Source organism: Homo sapiens, chromosome 14, assembly GCF_000001405.40.
Source record: "Homo sapiens chromosome 14, GRCh38.p14 Primary Assembly".
In the NCBI taxonomy this organism is placed as follows: domain Eukaryota; kingdom Metazoa; phylum Chordata; class Mammalia; order Primates; family Hominidae; genus Homo; species Homo sapiens.
In genome coordinates this window covers 76,278,706-76,296,270 of record NC_000014.9, presented here as the reverse complement: position 1 = coordinate 76,296,270, position 17,565 = coordinate 76,278,706, and the positions used below count along the sequence as shown (strand labels likewise).

Below are 17,565 nucleotides of genomic sequence, written 5' to 3'. Positions count from 1 at the left end.
GAACTAAAAGTAAAGCCTTACTAATTCAGACAAATGGGGGAGGCATGAAGGAAAACAAGAAGGAACTGTAGCTTTCCTTTCAAAAGAAACACATTTTTTACATTTCTAGCACTTACAATAAATCACACTAAACATTAATAGCAGCCAAATGGCGTTCTTGCTGAGTTTGGGTGAATGAATAAATAAAACTAATTTTAATTAGCATATCCCTTGTATACAAATATCTTCTATTAATATACTTTTGAAAGCTTGTTGTTTGAAGGTTAAACATTCATTCACACATCCAACAGGCAGCGTGGAGTATCATCACAGAGAATCTACGATGTGCTACTGTGTGCTCTCTGCTAGAAACTGAAGGTAAGGAGATCAACAAGATTCAGACAGTATATCCTGGAAGAAGCTACAGACTAAGGAAAGATATATGCACAAATAAATAATGATACAATATGCTAGGAATATATTTATTAGGAATATATAGACAATGTACTGAGTGACTACAATTACGGAACAACTGACTCAGAGGAGGTAAAGGAAGGATTCACTGGGAAGGTAATCTTTGAGCTGGGTTTTGAAGGATGAATAACAGTCTGCCAGGAAGAGAAAAAGAGGAAATCAAGGGTGGCTGCAAGACAAGGGGCCAGAGTCATTCAGGGGTCTAGTGATAATGCTCCAAGGTGGCTAATCATCATTCGTAGGAGCTACGGCTGAAGTGTCACAAATTGTGACTTGTTGAATAGAAGCTTTTAATTTGATAATATAATGCAGAAAACATTTTAAATACAGAAACACTTTTAATACAGAAAAGCGCAAAAGGTAATGCTCATGTACTTGCCACCAGAATGAACAAATGTTATTCTTACGTCATTAGCTATGATTTTTTTTTTCCCCCAGAAATAAGACTTTGTGGCCAAGCGCAGTGGCTCATGCCTGTAATCCCAGCACTTTGGGAGGCTGAGGTGGGAGGATTGCCTGAGGCCAGCAGGTTGAGGCTGTGTGAGCTGAGATTGTGCCATTGCACTCCAGCTTAGGTGACAGAACAAGACCTTATCTTAAAAACTAAAACAAAAGCTTTGCATCATTAAGACACTGGCACTGCACCTCTGGTGTTCTGTCACCTTCTCTAGAGCTCCCTCCCTAACTGCCCTCTCCAGAGCAGACCCCTCTCCTTTCCTCTCTGGCGGGGCCTCTGTTTTTTCCTTATGGCATCTCCCACTGTGTGAGGTCACCTTGTGGTTTGCTGATGTGTCCTGTACCGTAAGGTCATCTCCATAGAAGAGATGCCTGGAAGGTCTTAGTCACTGTGGGGCTCCTCCATGCCTGCTGCATGTTTGGTGCTGATTTAATATGTGTAGAAGAAAGGAAGGAGGCCAGGCGCAGTGGCTCATGCCTGTGATCCCAGCACTTTGGGAGGCTGAAGCAGGTGGATCACCTGAGGTCAGGAGTTCGAGACCAGCCTGGCCAACGTGGTGAAACCCTGTCTCTACTAAAAATATAAAAATTAGCCAGGTGTGGTGGTGGGCACCTGTAATCCCAGCTACTCGGGAGGCTGAGGCCAGAGAATCACTTGAACCCAGGAGGCGGAGTTTGCAGTGAGCCGAGATGGCGCCATCACACTCCAGCCTGGGCAACAAGAGCAAAACTCTGTCTCAAAAAATTAAAGGAAAGAAGGAAAGGAGGGAGGGAAAAGGGAAAAGGGAAGAAGGGAGAGCTTGTAGGTTAGTGTGAACTCTTCTAGGAGGCAGAAATAGAATCTTCAAATGAAGGGACTGTAGCAAACAAGGGAGAATAATTCCATTGAATTCCACAAATATGTATTGAGCCTTACCAAGGTGCAGGGCTCTGTGGGAGGCACAGGGCAGGCTCATGACCTCCAGGAGTAACTGAGGCTCCTAAGAGCTCAGCCACCAGCTGACCCTGGGTTGGGGGTGATTCGGAGAGTGTTTGGCAGATTTGGGAACTCTGGGTCAGACTCCTAGGGCCAGAGACCAGGGTGTCAAAGCCTTTGTCAGTCACTATGGATCCAGAGGTGGGTAGGCTGGTGGCAGGTCTGACCTGGGCCTGAAACTTCACATTGTAACCAAGGCGACCAAGCAAGGTGAAAATGTTACAGGCAAATAGAAGAAATTGACATTCGGGGAAGGTGACAAGTTACACATTAAACCAGGGAGTGGGAGAAGGCAGAACCTCCCCCACAGCATAGCTCACAAGCCCTGCCTTTGTGCTCAGCATGGAGAATGAAGTCTCTCCCTTTCAGATATTAGCAGTTCCCTTCCTTGTATTTCTGGGAGGAGGCTTTGGGCTGGGAGTGTGACGACTTGGTATTAATAGAAGGTGATTCAGGAAGAAGAGTGAGCCCTGGCCCTTTCTCCTGAGAAATCCCCTTCCTTGACCACCTCACAGATACCATTCATTGAGTAAGTGTTTATTGAGCATCTGCTGTGAGCCAGGCATTGAGCTAAGGACCAGGGATACAGAGATGAATAAACCACTCTCACTGTTCTTAAGAAGGCAAATACATAAAAGGCAAAATATATACAGCACAGTAAATGCTAAGGCACAGGTAGGACCAAATGCCTTGGGTGGTGGGGTGTTTGACTGGAGTTGTTGGAATAGAATGTATGAGGAGGTGGGGTATTTGAGCTGGGCTTTGAGAGTGTAGAGGAGATTGCCAGGCATAGAGATGGGTAAGAGCATTTTCCAAGTAGTTATTTTAAAAGCATAAAAGGCCCTGGGGATGGACAGAGAAGGAATGGGAGGGGGAGGAAGTGGCAGGAACTAGTCCCTGGGCCTCAGATGCTCCACCTTGCCTGGACCTTGCCTGGCAGGTTCCTTCTCATTCAGAGCTCAGGCTCATGGTTCCCTCAGAGCAGCCTTACCTAACAACCCACCTATTTGTGTGTCTATAATTTACCTCAACACAGCTCAGCATGTAAGCGTGATGTTCTGTGTGTGCCATGCAGGTTAAGCTGTAACCCAGGGGCTGCCGGGACTCCCATCAGGAATGCATAGTGCAGGGCCAGGGTTGGTAATTAGTGGGGAGGCCCGTGGTCGGGGCGCCTCCTATTTGTGTCTAGATCCATGAACAACACATGGTTAAGCAGCATGGTGAAAGTCAGAGACTGATTTTGATGGGTAGCGGTCTGTGAACTATCACTGAGGGGAGTTCTCATGTGAGATTTTCTTTCTTTAAAGGTTTTTGAGATAGGGTCTCACTCTATCACCCAGGCTGGAATGCAGTGGCACCATCACGGCTCACTGCAGCCTCAACTTCCCGGGCTCAGGTGATCCTCCTACCTCAGCCTCCCAGGTAGTTGGGACTACAGGCTCGAGCCACCACACCTGGCTAATTTTTTGTATATTTATGTAGAGACTGGGTTTCACCATGTTGGCCAGGGTGGTCCGACTGCCTAACCATGTCCCCCCACACCGGTGTCTCTTCTCTTTTCTGCGCGTTTTCTCTGCCGCTACTGGAGCTTGCTCTGCCCAAAGCAGGTACCACCAGGAGGGTGAATGCCGCCGGGGGAATCCTCAGCCAATGGGCATGTGGGTCATTAGTGCAATGCCCCAGGCTCCCGGTCCTTTGGTGAAAAGACTCCAAAGTTTGCTCTACCCTCAGGCCCAGCTGCCCACAGCAGTAACATGCTCCTTAGCACACATTTTGCTGTCTTTTCTCTCTCCCCGGTTTTACTTTTCCTACCTCCTCACTGTCCTTTCTGAAATCATTTCCCACATAGAACATCTGTACCGAAGGGTTTGTCTTAGAGTCTGCTTATGGAGAAACCTAACTAAGACAATACCTGGGCTAGCTAAAATGTTGTGGAGATATTCTCTCTCCCTTGCACGCTCAGAGTGTAAGAATCCAGTGGGATCTGTGGGCTTTACTCACTGGGTGAGGCTCAGAGCCAGAACCCAACATGGTTCAATAACCAGCCAGCAGTGGATTCTGGAAAATTCTGGTTACCAGTGGGCTATACGGTACTAAGAATCCCACCTCTGGAATCTTGGTGTTTGCCTGAATGGACCCTCCAAGCAAAGAGCACTTGGAGTACCTAAAAGGGCAGAAAGGCGGGACTTCTCTGAGCCTCCAAAACACGTTGTGTGACTGTTTTTGTGCTTGCCTACCAGTAGAAAGTTAGTTCATAAATTTCTCTACGAGGACATAGTTTGGTCTGTGACTTGCTCCTTTTATAACATGATTATAAGAGGTTGTAGGGAAGTAGCTAATCCTCATTCTCTTCAAACTCCTCGAACATCTCAGCTGTGAGATTTCAGGCTTGGGACCCTGGTGGATAATAACACCCTCAACTAAGGCAGAGATGGGGGTTCGCTCCCTGCAGTGAGCTCAAGCGCCAGCCTGACCTTCAGGGCTGAGTTATACCCACAGATCTTTGTCTCCCCTCAAGCTGCCTTGTATTGTAGTTCCCAGAAAACAGCCTGGACCAAACGCAAGGGCAGGAGAGAAGGAACCTGCTTCTTCTGTTTCTGAAGGTGCCCCCTTCTCTTGGCACGTTTTTCCCCCTTTGGCTGAGTCTTTGTTAGAGAAGCCAACTCTCTAACTGTGAAGTACAGGAAAAATATAAAGTCATAAGATGGACAGGTCAGAAACCTTAGCCTCTTCTTGGAAATGTGTGGTCTAAAGCTGCCTTTGGCTCACACTGTGTGGCTACTGTTGAATTGTTTATGTGCCTGGTTGAGACAACCCCTACGTGTGCACTGGATCCCCTGGTACCCTTTGCCCAACCAAAGTCATTGCTCAAGTAATTCTCCCTTTCTCTCTGCATCACTGATTTCTCCCTTCTCATACCATCTCAAACATCATAGCAAACATGCTGTTATTTCCCCAGTTTTGTTTGTCTGTTTGCTTGTTTGTTTGGGGTTTTTTTTGCAAGGGGTGGTGGGAGGGGACAGGGTCTCACTCTGTTGCCCAGGCTAGAGTGCAGTGGTGTGATCATGGCTCACTGCAGCCTTGAACACTCGGGGTCAAGCAATCCTCCCACCCACATAACTTGCTCACTGACCTCCTTAGTAACTGGAACTACAAGTGTGCACTACCACACTTGGCTAATTTTAAATTTTTTTGTAGAGATGGCATCTCACTATGCTGCCCAACTAGTCTCAAACTCCTGGCCTCAAGCCATCCTCCTACCTTGACCTCCCAAAACGTTGAGATTGCAGGCATGAGCCACCATGCCTGGCCTATTTCTCCAGTTTTTTTTTTTGAGACGGAGTCTTGCTCTGTCGCCCAGTCTGGAGTACAGTGGCACGATCTCAGCTCACTGCAAGCTCCGCCTCTCAGGTTCATGCAATTCTCCTACCTCAGCCTCCCCAATAGCTGGGACTACAGGCACCCACCACCACGCCAGGCTAATTTTTTTTTATTTTTAGTAGAGACGGGGTTTCACCGTGTTAGCCAGGATGGTCTCGATCTCCTGACCTCGTGACCCACCCGCCTCGGCCTCGCAAAGTGCTGGGATTACAGGCGTGAGCCACCGCGCCTGGCTATTTCTCCAGTTTTATAAAGTTCTGACCTCTCTTTCCAATGCAGTTTCTACCCCCTCTTCTTTGTCTACTTTATTGCAAAACTTCTTGGAAGAGTTGACCATACTCACTGTCTCCAATTTCTCTCCTGACAACCTCCTGTACATAACAGGCTTTCCTTCCTACCACGACACCAAACAGCTGTTATCAGAATCACCCATGGCCTCCACATCACTAATTCCAGTGGTCAGTTCCCCATCCTAACCTAATTGGGCCTCTCTGCAACACACTTGCCATAGCTGATCACTCCCTCCTGGGTATCACACTCTTCTCATTCTCCTGCTCCAGCTCTGGAGGCTGCTTCCTAATCTCCTTTGCTGGTTTCTCCTTATCTCCTGAACCTCTAAGAGCTGCAAAAGCCTGGAGATCAGTCCTGAGCCTTACCTCTTCTCTACCTACATGTATTCTCCTGGCCATCTCCTCAGGGATTGTAGCTTTAAATCCTTGCTATTGGCTGAGGCTCCTAAAGTTACATTCCCAGCCCAGTTCTCTTCCTCAAATATCATATTTTTATATCCAGTCATCTGATTCCACTCGAATGTCTAATAAACATTTCAAATTATGTCCAAGTTTTAGCTTCTGCTATCCCCATTCCTGCTTCCTGGAAACCTGCTGTTCTCATCTTAGTCAACGGTTTTTCAGTCTTCCAATTGCTCAGGCCAAAACCCTTGGAGTATCTTTGACTCTCCTCATTCTCACCCCATATGCAATCCTAGCACTTCTTCTTTTACACCCCGGTACAAGCTCTTCCCTACCTAGATTACTGCCTTCTAACGGGGCCCCTTGCTTCTGCCATTGTCCTCCCTCTTTCTAGTCACCATACAGTGACCAGAATGAACCTGCTAAATTGGAAGTTGGTCACGTCACTGCTATGCTTCAAACCCTTCCAGGGCTTCGCATCTCATGTAGACTAAAAGCTAAAGTCCTTTCAGGGAGCTCCAAGGTCCTCCATATATTGTCCCCATTTCCTCTCTGACTTTTTTTTTTTTTTTTTAAGACAGTAAGATAGAGTCTCACTCTGTCACCCAGGCTGGAGTGCAGTGGCACGATCACTGCTCACTGCAACCTCTGCCTCCTGGGCCCAAGCGATTCCTGTGCCTCAGCCTCCAAAGGAGCTGTGATTACAGGTGTGCACCACCACATATGGCTAATTTTTCTTTTTTTTTTTGTAATTTTAGTAGAGACGGGATTTCATCATGTTTGTCAGGCTGCTCTCAAACTCCTGACCTCAAGCTATCCTGACCTCAAGCCTCAGCCTCCCAAACTGCTGGGGTTACAGGTGTGAGCCATCGTGCCTGGCCCTCTCTGACCTATCTTCTACCATGCTCTCATCATTTACCTGCTGCAGCCACACTGGCCTCCTTGTTCTTCCTTCAACTCACTGGCTGTGCCCCTGCCTCGTGGCTTTTGCATTTACTGTTCCCTGTGCCTAGAATGTTCTTCCCCAGATACCCACATAACTTGTTCACTCACATCCATCAGGCCTTCATGCATACGAGACCTTCCCAGTGAGACTTTTCCTGCATATCCTATGCAAAATTATAACTCATTCCCCTAAACATTTCTATTTCTCTTTCTTATTTTCCCTAACACTTTTCATTTTGTCACACACTATATATTTTACTTAGTTATTTTGCTAATTGTCTATCTCTCCCACTGAAATATAAACACCACATTTTTGCTTTTTATTTATTACTATATCCCCAGCCCCTAAACAATGTCTGAAGCATAGTAGAAATTCAATAAATATTGTTCAGAAAATGTATGAATTCTAATCCTGGCTCAGAACCTAAACAACAGTTCTAGAGATTCTAAAAAAGAATATTGGGCCAGGTGTGCTGGCTCACGCCTGTAATCACAGCACTTTGGGAGGCTGAGGCAGGAGGATCGCTTGAGCCCAGGAGTTTGAGACCAGCCTGGGCAGCAAGGCAAGACCCTGTCTCTACAAAAAAAAAAGTCAAAAATTAGCTGGGTGTAAGGTGACCTGTTCCTGTAGTCCCAGATACCTGGGAGGCTGAGGCAGGCGAATCACTTGAGCCCAAGAAGCTGAGGCTGCAGTGAGCCATGATCACACCACTGCATTCCAGCCTGGGCAACAGAGTGAGACCCTGTCTCCAAAAAAAAAAAAAAAAAAGGAATATTGGTTATAGTCTGCTTCTCACTATAATAGAGTAGCTTGTATTCCACCAATGTTTCCACCAAGAATAAACAGAAAAGATGGATGAAACCCAAAACTGCTGGAAGGTATCGAAGAGCTTTCAAAACAGCTGAACATTGAAGACGGAGCTTGAAAATATCTCAAGCTCCCTCTTAGAAACTTTAGAAGACTACACCCTAAGAGGAAGGAACATCAAGGGTAGGCCAAGCCTTAATAAGTCTAAACCCACTTTGAATCATCTTAATCCTTGATGGCACTGAGGTGGTCTGCCCTGCTCTACCTGCCTTCCAGAGGAAAGAGTGAACCCTTTCTCGAGGGAGATAACATTTGATCACTCCCTCTATGACTGTTCTTATGCAAATCTGGTGTTCAATAAATTCTCCTGGCATACAAAAGAGGACAAAGCCAATAGAAACAGAGCTACTGATGACAGAGATATTTGCATTATTAGGCATGAACTTTTAAATAAATATAATGAAAATCTTCCAGAAAATAACTGACAAGATGGAGAAGTTCATCTCAGAATTGGAATTTATTAATTCTACCATTGAATAATACAATAACGAATTAAGAATTCGATACCTGGATTTAATAGCATAATAGACAAAAATGAAGAAAGGATTATTTTACGGGTAGATAGATCAGTTGGAAAAAAAATCAGACTAAAACACAAAGAAAAAACATGCAAAATATAAAAAGAGAGCAAAGGTGCACGAGAAATGGTGAAATGTTCTCAAACATGTGTCTCTGGAGTCCTAGAAGTGGAGAAGAGCCATAATTCATGGAAGCAATAAAAAAACAAAGACCTGGAATTTTCAAAATTGACAAATGACATCAAACCAAATATTCAAGAAGCACTGCAAACCCCAAGAAGGATAAATACAGAAGAAATCACATCCAAGCACATCCTAGTAAAACTTCTGAAAATTAAAGACAAAGGAATTTTAAAAGCAGTCATAGTAAAAATAAAAAAAATACATCTCCCTAAAAGGAGCAACAAGAAGTCTGACAGCTGACTTCTGAACATAAATGATGGAAACCAGAAGGCAAGAAATGGCATCTTTAAAGTGCTTAAAGAAAAGAAAGCCAACCTGGAATACTCAGTGAAAATATACTTCAAAAGTAAAAGTAACGTAATTACATTTTCAGAGAAACAAAAATAAATATTCCATTGTGGCTGGACCCACATTAAAAGGAACACTAAAGATAGCTCTTCTCAGGCAAGACAAAAATGATCCCATATGTGAACATAAAAATACAGGAAATAATTATGAAAAATGAAAAGGGCCTATATATGGATAAGTCTAAAAGAATATTGAATATAATATTCAATTACATTGAATATAATATTCAATTATATTGAATATTATATTCAATTATATTGAATATTATATTCAATTATATTGAATATTATATTCAATTATATTGAATATATATTGATATATTCAATATATTGAAAGGGAAGAAAAGGAAATAATGGATATTAGAGTAGAAATTATTTAAATAGAAAATAAATGTATATAAGAGGAAAACAACAAGCTGAAAATCGGTTCTCAGAAAAGACTAATAAACAGGAATGAAAAGAGAAACACGGTTGCAGAGCCTACAAACTTAAAAAAAAGATAAGAGACTATCATAACTTTGTGTGGGTATAGTTAAAAATATTAATGAAATGAACAAATTTCTTTAAAAATCTTAAAATGGACATATGAAAAAACAGAAAATATGAATAGTTATCTTTATATATTAAAATATTTAAATCTGTAATTTACATCTCAGATGGCTTCATTGGCGAATGCTTCCAAACATTTAGGGAAAAAAATGGCACCTATTGTACCCAAACTTCCAGAGAATGGAAAAAGAGAGAACACTTCCCAGCTTGTTATTTGTGGGGAATATAATCTGGTCAGCATAATCAGATATAAAATATGATAAGGAAATTATAGAAAAGGAAAAATATAGGTCCATATCCCTCACAAATATAAATGCTAGCCAATCAAACCTAGAGTTGTATAAAAATGAAATATAGGCCAATCAAACCCAGAGTTATATAAAAAGGAAAATACATCACAACTACTTAGAGTTATTATAGGAAATCAAGGTTTTTTTTATCATTCAAAAATCAATATAATTCACTATATTTGCAGAAAAGACAGAAACATACAGTCATTTTAACAGATGCAGAAAAAATTTTTGATAAAATTTATTACCCATGATTTTAAAACAACTCTTAGCAAACTAAGAATAAATTAGAACTTCATTATTTTAAAAAAGGCTATTTATGAAAAACCCACAATAAACCTCACTTTCGCAATAACTGTAAATTATTAAAAGCCTTCTTTTCTCCTACCCATGAAGTTGAGAATGAGACAAAAATGTCCACAGATATCACTTCTGTTGAACATTGTGCTGGGATGCTAGCCAGAGCAGTTAGGCAAAGAAAAGAAATTAAAAGTTTAAGAATTAGAAATGAGGAAATAAAATAGTCACTATTTGCAGGCAGCATAATTATCTATGTGGAAAATTTGTAAAAAATAAATAAATGATTAGAATTAATAAGTGAACTTAGTAAAAGCCCTGGATATAAGTTAAAACACAAAAATGAATTATACCCTTACATACCAGAACCAATTAGAAAATATAATTTAAAAAAATATACAATTTACAATAGCATTTTAGAAATCTCATACCTGAAAAAATATATATATAATAAAAGATGCACAAAAACACTTACATAAAAATTATGAAAAGTTACTGAGAGAAAATAAAACCCAAATAAGTGAAGGGATATACAATGTTCATGAATTATAAGACTCAATATTGTAAAGAGATAAATTGTACATGAATTGATCTATATATTCAATGTAATCCTACTCAGATCCCCAGCAGTTTTTTAGAGAAATTAACAAGTTGATTCTAAAATTTATATGGAAATGCAAAGACTCAATAAAAAACAGGTAATCTTGAAGTAGAAAAATAAAACTTGAGGACTTATAGCAAATGGTAAGAATGTATAAAGCTCTCATTCAAACAGTATGGTGTTGGTGCAAAGACAGAGAACTAGATTAATGGAACAGAATAGAGAAACAGACCCACACACATAGGGTTATTTGATTTATCATAATTGTGTCCCTGCAGTGAAGTGGGAAACAGTTGCCTTTTCAATATATGGAACTGGGTCAATTGGATATTCATTCACAGAAATTATTTCCAGGTTGAAAAACTAAATGTGGAAGGTAAAAAGTGAAGCTCTTTCAAGAAAACATAGAGGAATATTTCAATTATCTTTGGGTAAGCAAAGATGTCTTAAATGGGTCATAGGAAGCACTCACGTAAAGAAAAATATTGATAAATTGGCATTAAAAATAAGAGCTTCTGTTCATCAAAAGACACCCATAAGAGAGTAAAAAAGCAACCACAGATTGGAAGAATATATTTGCAAAACTCATCTCTGACAAAGAGACTTATATCCAGAGTAGATGAAGAATTCACACAAATCTGTAAGGAAAAAATATAACCAACCAAATTTTAAAATGAGAAAAAGACTTAAACAGGCATTTCACAAAAAAAAATTCAGATGGCCAATAAGCACATAAAAAAGATGCTCAATGTGAGTTGTCATCAGGGAAATACAAATTGACCACAATGAGATACTATTCCACATCTACCAGAATGCTAAAATTAAAATTCATCAAGCTATGTACGTGTGCTTTGTACATTTTCTGTATGCAGATTTCCAAAAAATTAACTTCAAAAATAGCTACATATTAATTTTGATTTTTTGTTATTTTTGTCAACTGTATTAAGGCATAATTTACATACAGTAAAATGCATCCATTCTAAGAGTACAGCTTGATGGATCTAGACCAGGGATCAGCAAACTGTGGCCCTTGAGACAAATCCAGCTATACCCATTTGTTTAAATATTGTTTACAAAATTAAGTAGTTGCAACAGAGATCATATGGTCCTCTAAAATATTAACACCCAGCTTATTACACAATCAAGATATGGAATGTTTCTTTCACCCCCAAAAAACTCCTTCCTGCCCCTTTGCCCAGATCTACTCCTGGCCCCAGCAACCACTTTGTTTGTGATATTCTAGATTAGTTTTGCCTTTCCTGGAATTTTATAGAAATGTAATCATAGAGTATATACTTTTCTGGCCCAACTTAATTCATTTGGTGTAATGTTTTTGAGATTCATTCATGCTGTCGTGTGTCTGTAGTTCAGCCCTTTTTATTGTTGAGTGTTATTCCAAGATATTGTCATATCATAATAACAATTACCTATTCACTGGTTGGTGGACATTTGGGATTGTTTCTAGTTTTCAGCTATTACAAGTAAAGTTGTTATGAACACTTATGTACAAATCTTTGCATGGACATATGTGCTTATTTATCTTGAGTAAATAAAAGTGGAATTGCTGGGTTGTATAGTAAACGTATGTTTAACTTTATAAGAAACTAGCTAACAATTTTCCAAAGTGGTTGACCATTTTGCATTCCCAGCAGCGATGTATGCAACTTTTAATTGTTCTAAATCCTCATCAGTACTTGGTATTAGCAATCTTTTCAATTTTAGCTGTTCTAATGGGTATGTGGTAGGATCTTGTGGTTTTAACCTGCATTTGCCTAATTAATGATATGCTTTATTGTGTGCCTATCAGCCATTTGTATATCTTTTTTGTCTGTTCAAATCTTTTGTCCATTTTAAAATCAGGTTGTTTTTCTTATTGAGCTGTGAGACTTCTTTATGTATTCTTGGTATAAGTCAGGATGTGTGTGTGTGTGAGAGTGTGTGTGTGTGTGCGTGTGTGTGTGTGAGTGTGTGTGTGCGTGTGAGTGCGTGTCTGTGTGTGGAGAGAGAGTACATTTCTTGCAAGACATGGCTTGAGTTTTCATTTTCTTAATAGCATCTGTATTTGTTTCCTATTGATGCTGTGACAAATCGCCACAAATTTACTGACTAAAAGCAACACGAATTTATTATTTTATAGTTCTGGAGGTCGGAAGTCAATTTCATGGAGCTAAAATTAGGTGTTGGCAGGACAGTGTTCCTTCGGAGGCTCAAGGGGAAAATTCATTTCCTTGCCTTTTCTAGCTTCTAGAGGCTTTCTGCATTTTTTTGACTGGTGGCTCCGCATCACTCCAACCTCTGCTTCTGTCATCACATCTACTCTGACCCTCCTCCCTCCCTCCTTAAAAGGACCCTTGTAACTACACTGGGCCCACTTGGGTAATTCAGGAAAATCTCCCTATCTCAAGATCCTTAATTTGATCACATCTGAAAAGTCTGTTACCATGTAAGGTAATATATGCACAGTTCCCAGGATTAGGACATGGACATCTCTGGGAGGCCATTATTCAGCCTGCTACACTGTCTTTCAATGAACAAAAGTTTAAGGTTTTTTTTTTCTTTTATTAGTCAGGTTTCTCCAGAGAAACAGAATCATCAGGAGATATACAGAGATATGAAAAGATATTTATTATAATGAATTGGCTCACATGATGATGGAGGCTGACAAGTCACAAGATCTGCAGAGTGAGTCGGCAAGCTGGAGAGCCGGGAGAGCTGACAGTATAGTTCTGGACAACTCTAAAGGCCTGAGAATCAGGAAAGCTGATGGTATAGTTCCAGTGCAAAGCTGGCAGGCTCAAGACTCAGGAAGAGCCAGTGTTTTAGTTCAAGTCCAAGGGCAGGAAAAAGTTGACAGCCCAGCTCAAATGCCATCAGGCAGGAGGAATCCTCTCTTACTCAAAGGAATGTCAGCCTTTTCGTTCTAGTCAGGCCTTCAACTGATTAGACGAGGCCCACCCACATTAGGGAGAGCACTCAGCTTTATCCAGCCTACCAAGTTAAATGTTAATTCCATCCAAAAACACCCTCACAGAAACACCCAGAATGATGTTTCACCAAATGTATGGGCACCTGTGACCCAGTCAAGTTGACACATAATATTACTTGTCCCAAGGCCTATGATCCATTTTGAGTTGAATTCTGTGTGTTGTGATAAGTAAGAAGAATTAAGGCTTTTTGTTTTTTTGGGTTTTTGGGGTTTCTTCCAAATGGATATCCAACTTTTTCAGCATCATTTGTTGAAAAGACTAACCTTTCCTCGTGGAAAACCTCAGTAGCTTGGTCGAAAATCAATTGACCATACATGTCTATGGATCTACATTTAAACTCTCCATTCTGTTCCATTCATTAATATGCCTATCCTTATGCCAATACTTTATTGCTGTAGCTTTATAGTATCTCTTGAAGTCTGGTAGTATAAATCTTCCAACTTTGCATTTTTTCAAAATTGTTTTGGCTATTATGAGGTCTTTGCATTTCAATATAAATTTTAGAATACATTTGTCAATTTCAGTTTTTTAAAAGCCTACTGATGTTTTCATTGGGATTGCATTAAATCTATGGATCGATTGGGGGAAAATTGGTATCTTTGATTTTAGTGCTTTTCCAATTTTTTTTGTTGTGATAAAATGCATGCAAAGTTTACCATCTTAATCCTTTTTAAATTACACATCAGTGGTATTAAGTACATTCACAATATTGTACAAACATCACCACCATCCATCTTCATAATGCTTTTCATTTTGCAAAACTGAAACTCTGTACTCACTAAACAAAAACGCCCCATTTTCCTCTCCCCACATTCCCTGGATCATCATTCTCTTTTCTGCTCAATGAGTTTGACTACTCTAAGTACTTCATATAAATGGAATCATACAATATTTGTCTTTTTGTGACTTGCTTATTTCACCAAAAATAACATCCTTGAGGTTTATCCATATTGTAATGTATGTTAGAATTTCATTTTTAAAGGCTGAATAATATTCCATTGTGTGTGTGTATATGTATATATATGTATACACTATATTTTGCATATCCATTCATCTATCAATGTACAATGGACAATGGGTGAGTTGCTTCCCCATTTTGGCTATTGTGAAGAATGAACATGGGTGTACAAAGATCTCTTTGAGACCCTGCTTTCAATTATTTTGGGTACATACCCAGAAGTAGAATTGTGGATCATATGGTAATTATATTTTTAATTTTTTGAGGAATTGCCATACTGTTTTCCAGAGTGACTGTATCATTTACATCCCCATTGACAGTGATAGTAGCCATCCTAATACCGATAGGTATGAGGTGGTATCTCATTGTAGTTTTGATTTGCATTTCCCTAATGATTAGTGTTGTTGAACACCTTTTCATGTGTTTATTGGCCATTTATATCTCCTTTGGAGAAATGCCTATTCAAGTCTTTTGCCCATTTTTTAATTGAATGGCTTGTTTTGTTATTGTTGAGTTTTATGAGTTCTCTATATATTCTGGATATTAACCCCTTATCAGATTAGATACATGACTTGCAAGTATTTCCAACTTGGGTTCTTTTGTTTTTTTTTTTTAGAGATGGGATCTTGCTATGTTGCCCAGGCTGGTCTCGAACTCCTGGCCTCAAGCAATCCACCCGCCTTGGCCTCCCAAACTGCTGGGATTACAGGCATGAGCCACCATGCCCAGCCTAATTTGGGTTCTTTTTTTAAAGTAAGATTCTAACTGTTAATAAACTGAGGAACCTCATTGTCCATGATATTCACAATAAATGATAATAAAAAGAAAAACAGCTGTAATTTATCGAACCCCGGGCTGGTACAGGTACTCTAAATATATTATTTTACTTAATAATCCTAGTAACACCATGAGATGTCATGCCATTCTCAAAATGTATAGGTGAAGACTCTGATACTCTGAGAGGTTAAGTAACTGGCCTGAGGTTACCATGTTAACAAGTGGTGGAACTGGGATTTGAACCTAGGCTTTCCTGACTCCAAAATCCACACCTTTTTGTCAAAAATACTCTGGCTACTTCACATTATGTTCCTCTATCCCTGCCTCCTCCTGCCCTGACCTCAACTTCTACCTACTTGACTCCCTAATTAACATTTACTAAGCACCTATTGTGTGTACTTTGTGCTGGGTTAGGTGATTTATGCATCTCATCTCTTCCCTCAGAGAGCTAGACGTTCATGTATGTCTATGTACCCTCACATGTACACACAGGTCTGCCTCCCCTGCAAAAGTCCCCATGTTGGGGGTAAGGTTCAGCCCACCATCAACTCTGCTACGAAGGCAGGGCAAGCTGGGGGCAGCTCCTAACCATGCCCACCCCACTCTCCTAAGCATGCCCATCCCACTCTCCTGGCCAGCCCTAGGCCTCTGAGATTTCAGGGACTTCTCACTCAGCTCATCTGTCTGGCTGATCATTGTAGAAGAGGTTGCAGATTTCCATCTTTGGATGAATGGTTTGATCCTTTTCTCTCGCTCTCAATAAATAAGCAAACTTGCACAAAGCAATTGAGATGAATGGCAGAGGACCCATCTCTAACTGTGGGAAACCAGCACTGCTATTTTTAGGTAACCCACTTGCTCTGCGATCTCACCCCTCTGTGGATAGATTTCTTCTGCTCACACAGGATCGGCTCCGAGGAAGCAGGTTTTCCGGGACACTCTTTCATTCCCAGCCACTCTGGTGTATCTGGCCATCCCATCCCCTAGCATCCCCATCCCCAAGACCCCAAGCTTGGGTCTGGCTTTCAAAGGTCTGAGATCAACAGTAGCAGTACCTTAATTCTGACCTCCATCTGCAGCAGTAGCAACACCTTCTGTGTGAAGTCTCTGCTCATTTAATGATCAGAGGGAACTTGGATACACAAGGGTAAAAGAGCATCTTGGTCAAACTGTCCTCTTTTGCCCATACTTAGCATGGAATAGTTAGACACCCTAGTCCTTCAGTGGGGTGTCTAGTGTCAGCATTAGAAATTAGGGAAACATTTAGGGGCAGGCTGGATGCAAGCCATGAAACGTCTGTCAGACATTCACTCCCTCATTCAGCAAACATGCATGGGACACTCACTACTAGGTTCATGGTACAATATGCAATACAGGGGACAGGAAGGAGCATAGGACACAGTCCTTGGCCCCAAGAACACACAGGCTGGTGCATAGGCTACAAATAGCTACTGTAACAACAGGATGAGCACTGCAAGAGGGGACATGAGGAAAGCAAAAATAAATGTCACTGAAGAACAGGACACACCAAGAGGGAGCTTCACCCCAGAGAGCCGTGGGCACCAGGTGGTCCAATTCCAATTACAAGGAAAGAGTGGAAGGAGGGGGATGGATTCCCCAGGAGAGGACATGGCTGAAGGCCACTTCACACCCAGCTGATTTCACCTGCCTGGTCTCCAGTGAAGACAGAATGTAAGGAAAAAGGCCAACTCCACCTAGGCATGATGGAGATGCCTTGGTCAGGATGTCAGTGGAATAGGCTGTACAACTCTCCTTTGAGGGGTGTCTACAAATACGATGGATGCTCATCAGTTTGACATGGTTCAAATTCAGTTCTGGCTAAAGACAGGGAACTAGATGATGATGTCCTCTCAAGGTCACTACCAGATCTCAAAACCTCAGACCTCAGGGAAAATGATGGTGCCCCTCTTGCCATACAGTTAAGACTCCTGCATGTGACTTAGTAAAGAACATGCCTTGAGAACTTCAGGGTAGAACTAGGAAACAGGCAAAGGAACAAGAAAGAAGAGAATGTGTATATGGTCGAATGTGCATTATCGGTGGAGTAGTGGTGAAGGGTAGTGAGGCTGGAGTCAGGCAGACCTTGGTTCAAAACTCAGCTCTACCACTTCTTACTTGCTGTGTGACCATGGGCAAGTTATGAAACCTCTCTGAGCCCCCCCAAGTTCCTTATCTGTAAAAAAGCCTAAATGGTCTTCCCCATAGTTGTGAGAACAAATGATGCAAATGTGTATGAATCACCTAACCTCCTGTCCCATGCTTGTTG

The 17,565-nt window shown here is 41.1% G+C and overlaps 1 long non-coding RNA gene across 1 annotated transcript in view; it reads left to right on the top strand.

The window, feature by feature from the left end:
* LOC105370575 (uncharacterized) overlaps nt 1-17,565 on the top strand; it is an 83,107-nt gene that overhangs the window by 14,149 nt on the left and 51,393 nt on the right. Inside the window, exon 2 of the long non-coding RNA XR_001750833.3 lies at nt 291-357. This is a non-coding gene — a long non-coding RNA (uncharacterized LOC105370575). The remainder of the gene's footprint in view (nt 1-290; nt 358-17,565) is intronic.